The sequence below is a fragment of the Homo sapiens genome, chromosome 1, assembly GCF_000001405.40.
Source record: "Homo sapiens chromosome 1, GRCh38.p14 Primary Assembly".
Lineage (NCBI taxonomy): Eukaryota > Metazoa > Chordata > Mammalia > Primates > Hominidae > Homo > Homo sapiens.
The window spans coordinates 39,717,628-39,723,627 of record NC_000001.11 but is presented as its reverse complement, the minus strand read 5'-3'; the positions used below and the strand labels follow the sequence as shown (position 1 = coordinate 39,723,627).

At 38.7% G+C, this 6,000-nt stretch overlaps 2 pseudogenes; one reads left to right on the top strand and one right to left on the bottom strand.

Moving 5' to 3' along the window:
* Positions 1-62, top strand: RNU7-121P (RNA, U7 small nuclear 121 pseudogene; annotated as a pseudogene).
* CCDC25P1 (CCDC25 pseudogene 1) lies at positions 4,835-5,653 on the bottom strand (annotated as a pseudogene).

Genomic DNA, 6,000 nt, shown 5'->3' with positions numbered 1-6,000 from the left:
CTGTGTTATAGCTTTTTAAGAATTTGTCTAGCAGGTTTTCCATTTTTTACTAGAAAATCCCCCACAAAAAGAAAAAGAAAAATCTGTCTGTACTGTCTATTGAACATAAGGCTGCAAAAAAGATAAATTTAGACACAGTCATTGACAAATTTGCAGAAGTTAAGGCTCAAAAATCATAATTGTAATATTAATTACCATTACAGAACAAAATAAGTAGGTTTTTTCCTTTTTTCAAAAAACACATTAAGGTAATTAAAATTATTCATTAATTACTCTTTTCCTTTTTGTATTGTAATATTCATTTATATTGGCATTTATTTATTTATATAGACAAAAGTTCTTACTATCTGCTTTTTAATTTCTGGGACTTATTATTACTATTATTATTATTTTTTTGAGACACGGTTTCACTCTTGTCGCCCAGGTTGGAGTGCAATGGCACGATCTCGGCTCACTGCAACCTCCGCCTCCCAGGTTCAAGTGATTCTCCTGCCTCAGCCTACTGAGTAGCTGGGATTACAGGCGCCCGCCACCACCCCCAGCTAATTTTTGTATTTTTAGTAGAGACGGGGTTTCACCATGTTGGCCAGGCTGGTCTTGAACCCCTGACCTCAGGTGATCCACCCGCCTCGGCCTCCAAAAGTGCTGGGATTATAGGTGTGAGCCACCATGCCCAGCCTATTCTTATTATTATTCATTTTATTTCATGATTTTACTGAAAATGATTTTGTCATATGAAAAAGAGGGACAGTAAAAAAATTATCCATTCCAGGTGGCAAATAAGCTAGGTACTCACTTGGGTAAAAGTGAATGAAGAAATTCCTACACTTATGTATGTATTCAGTCATTCAGTCATTCAAGAAGTATTTACTAAGCAAATGTAATACACCAGGAAATATTCTAGGTGCTGAGGACACAGGAAATCCCATTCTCATCGAGTTTACATTCTAGTGATTCACTCAAGAATCCTGTATGGAGCTCTCCCATTCCATACAAGTGCAGTGGTGTGTTGGAGCTGGCTTGCATTGGCTTGTGAGAGCCAGGTGTGTGCATCTCTTTCCAACTCCCTATTCAGTTATGTTATGCCAGTAACTTCGAATTGGCCATGGTGGGAATATTTACACCATGGAAATAGGCAAAAGCTATAAATCAGGGCTTTTGTTTTGGAGTCAGTTGCTAAATATTTGCCAGCCTACCACTACAAGTCACTCAGTCAGAGAGTTCTTCCCTGATTAATCAATTTATAGAAGCCTGCCCCAGTTATTCTGTCACATGCCCCTGTGTTATTTGCTTTATAGCATTTATTACTACTGGAAATGCCCTTGTTCCATTGATTTATTCCACTGGTATTTATTGAGTGCCTACTATATGCCAGGAACTGTTAAAGTACTTGAGATCTAACAAAACAGAGATCTATACCCTTGTGGGGCTTACATTCTAGCAGGGGCAGATGGATTTTTAAAAACAATGAGCACAATAAGTAAATTATTTGGAGTGTTAGAAGGTGATAAGTTCTGTGAGGGGTGGAGAAAAAGTAGAGAAGGGCAAGAAGGATCTGAGTTAGGGACATGAGTGATGATTCTAAATGGAGAAGTCAGGGTGGGTCTCATTGAGAAGGTTATATGGGAATGCAGACCAGAAGTAGGTAAGGGAATTATCTGTATAAACAGTATTCCAGACAGAGGGAAAAGTCAGTGTCAAGAGCCCACACTGGCCTGGCCTGGCAAGTTCAAGGAATAGCAAGGCCAGTGTGGCTGAAGTGGAGTGAGCTGAGGCAAGTGGCTGGAGAGATGAGGTCAGATCATGTGAGGCTTTGTAGGTGATTAAAAGACCAATGTGTTTGGACTGTATCTGGGCTCTCTACCCCTTTAGGTTGGTCTGAATTGACTGTACTCTATTTAATTTCTGTAGTTTAACATTCATTTGTTATATCTGGTATTTTATTCTTTTTTTCAGAAGTATCTTGCATGTTCATGGACATTTACTCTTTCATATGAACTTTAGGACCTGTTAATCCAGTTACAACAAAAAATCCTGCTGAGTTTGTATTGGAATGAATTTAATTTGTAGGTTTATTTTGGGAGAGAAGTGATACCTTTATAATAGTAAGTATTCCCATCAATATCTCTCCATTTATTATTTTATTCATATTCTTTTTATATATTTAAAAACATTTTGTATTGTCCTCTATGAAGGTCTAGTATATCCTTTATGAGATATAGTCCTAGATGCCTTAGAGTTGTTATCAACCCTGGGAATGGTATATTTTATGCCTAATACTCTTATTGGTTTAAATAGTTTTTCTCTATATTCTCTTGGATTTTCTCATTGACTGTAATATCACCTGCAAATATGGATAGTGTTCTGTTTTTCTATGTTAACACTTCTTGTTTATTTCTCTTATTACATTGGCTAGGAGCTCCAGTATAATGGTGAATAATAGTGCTGATAGCAATCTTGTTCCTGACTTAATGGAAATGCTTCCAAACTTTCAAGCATAAAGTTTATGTTTGGGGTAGATACCCTTTAACAGGTTGAAAAAGTTCCCTTCTATTCCTAATTTGTTAAGGGTTTTTTAAAAATTATGAATCCACATTTAGTTTTGTTGAATGATGTTTTTTGCATTTTTGAGAGGATTGTATGATTTTTCTCCTTTATCACTTAATTGGCAAATCACAGGGAAACATTTCTTAATGTTAAATTATGCTTCTGTGAGTAAAGGGAAAATTAATATCAGGCTGGGGCTGATGCAAGCCTGCCTGACACTGACCTTGGTCTTCCACAATACTGTTTCCTTGGAAACTGCAGAGTTAACATAAACAGGGGATGTTGTGTATGCTGACTACACAATTGTGTGGAACTGCGCATGGGTCTGGAGGCATTGTCAGTGAGCATACAGGTCATGAGCGTATGCAACTGGGAATGGCAGGAAATATTGGTGAGAAATAGAGGTTTCAGGTTATTTACTTACTTACTTATTTATTTATTTATTTATTTATTTATTTATTTAAAGAGACAGGGCCTTGCCTGAGACCCAGGCTGGTCTCAGACTAGGCCCAAGAGATCCTCCTGCCTCAGCCTCCCAAAGTGCTGGGATTACAGGTATGAGCCACTGCGCCTGACTAAGGCTTTAGGTTCTATGAGTCAAAGTGATCGCTGCACACCTTGGCTAGCCCGTGGCAGCTGTAATTGCCCTGTGGATGAATGACAACAGGACATGTGTACTTCGGTAGCTGCTGGGCCACCTGGTGAGATAAAGATGTAGCATCTGCCATATCTTCTGCCTTGTATTCTAGGTTACAATTTATTTCTGTCTCATGAGTCTTGCTGTCAACTTGAACCTATAATCACAGCTGTAGTCTGTACCTTCTTTCCGGGATTATATTTAGCACAATTATGGAGCAGTATTTTAATTTTACCTCTAGGGGGCAGTCATGGATCATAAATTGGTATGCTGTTTTAAAAAACCATCTAGAATAAACTGCCCTTTTAGGTTATGTACTTTTTTTTTTTTTCTCATTTTTACAGATGAAGAGACTGAGCCTTAGAAAATCTAAATAATTTTCTTAGTTCACATAACTTGTAAATAGCAAAAAGCAGATCTGGGATTTTTTTTCAGATAAAAAATTATACTTTATTATAACTTTTAAAATTGCAGAACGTCAAGCTGAATATCATTAGACACGTACACAAAACCACTCATCTCTAAAGTCATCTTCTATACCCTATCAAAATTTGGCCAATGAATCATGCCTCAGGGAATTTTCCAGTTCAACCCCATACACCAACATGGAATATTTGGAAACACTAGCCTTTTGGTTTTGCCCAGAATTCCAAAGCGCTATTACAGGTGGAATATCTGCTGCAGGAGGTCATTCTTGCTGCTGTGGGTGTGAGTAAAATGTCCACCTGTATGCCTCTGGTCCTGCAGGCTTTGTTCTCTTTCTTCTTGTTTTGTCTCCTTCTACAGGGGTTCCCTTACATACTGCAATCAAAAGACATCTTCTGCTCAGAATCACAACAGATAGTGAGTGGTTCAAGTGAGAAGTAATGTTATATAGTAAGTTACTGAATCTACAATGAGAAATTGAACTCTGGGGCCACAACTCAAATATGATTTCAAGGTAAAGAATATAATTACTTGGCTGGCTAGTGAAACGCTTATTTCCTTCTAAAATCATAATTGCAATATGGACTTCTGCTTCATGCTGCATCCCAAGGCACAAATCAGGTAACCTACATCTGCCAAATGATCAACAGAGCATTCCTTCCTATTTTACCCTCAATGCTGAGAAATTACTCCAGAGCCCAGAAGTTGTTGCATAGGTGGCTTGGGTTACTTGGTGCTCAGGCAACAACTGCCACAGGCCCCACCTTGATGAACACCATCAATTTCTTTAAATATGATGATACTAAGATGGAGGAGGCCCTGCTCAGAAGAAGCAAGGACGTAAAAGCTGGGACAGACTGTGCTGTGGGTCACTACACTAACAGACCCAGATGACACGATGGAACGTGAATACTGAAGCTGACAATCTTCTGAAAATCTCTTTTTCAAAACCCATATGCCCTTTTTTCTAATCTGGAAATCAGGGACAGGGAAACATTCGCATAATTACCCACCAACATGTTCTTCTTAACAGAAGTGAAGATTATTTTAAGAATATGAAAAGTGTTTCAAGACATCTGTTTTCAGGGATAGATCACAGCAACAGAAGTACTTTTCAGAGTGGTTCATTTTAAAGTCAATCTCAAGAACAAGGGCAGCCAGCTTTCACAAAGTACCAAGACATGTTCTGGCAAAAACATTTTTGCTTTAAGTTATATGCTGTCAAGTTCAACTATTTTATACATATCTGATCCTTTTCTGTCAACAAAAAAGGTACAATTTTTTTAAAACTCCAAAATCAATAATTTCTGGGTAGGATGAAGGTAGAATTTTGGTTGTATTTTATACTTCAGAATACAGATGAAACCAAAAGGTCTGCAATTGTCTCTACATTCACATCTTTCAAAGGTCCTTTTCTCCTTTTACATGGATTCAGTTGAATCATTGCCATCCTGATTTGAAGACATATTTTCAACTTTCATTAGTGGTAAATAGCTCCTAAGTTCATCCATTTCCCTCTTCTTCATTTCTTCTTTTTCTCTCCTTTTCATTTCCTGAATTTGGGCTGTTTTCTCATTCCTCTCTTCACGATCTCTGCATTCTTTCTCTGCTGCTAGGTCTGGGAACCACTCCACTTTGGTCTTTTCTAATCAGTTCAGGATCTCATTTACTTTTTTCTCCCATGTCACAATTTTTACATCCTTCTGCCTGTGAAAACCTATGTGCCCCACATCCATGTCAGCTGTTTTCTTCAGGTTAGACTGCGGCGTATATACCACATTAACGTTCATCTTGCAGCCTTGAATGCTACTGGCTTTCACAAGGTGGGCACAGTCCATCAGCACTTCCTTTGGAATGTCTTCTATGTTCTCTCCCAGATATTTTCAGGCCAGCCGTGCTTGATCAGATCTTCATTTTCATATTTATCCTTTCCCATGTAAATAGTGTACTGGGATGAATTAATGCTGCTGCTGGTGAAGTAGAACACCATGGTCCCGGCGGTGGTGCAGTGACTCTACTGCCCACCAGCAGCGCTCAATTCACCCATATCTGGGATTTTAACCTACATCTATTTGCCACTAAAGTACATGCTCTTAATACACACAGAGGAACGCCCTCCTTCTCTCTTCTTCCCTCCTTTCCCCTCTCTGTCTCTTTTTCTCCTCGAAGCAGTCCAGCAAAGTGGTTAAATGCACTAATTCTGAAGTCAACCTGCTTGACTAGGAAGGATTGGCCCATAGGGGTACGTAAAGGTTAGAATGGCAGCGGGAAATTGATTCACATGAAAAATAAATTACCTACCACACCTACCAAAGTCTGGCTCTATGACTTACCAGCTATGTGACCATGGGAAGGTTACTTAATTCCTCTGTGGCACAGGTCCACCTGTA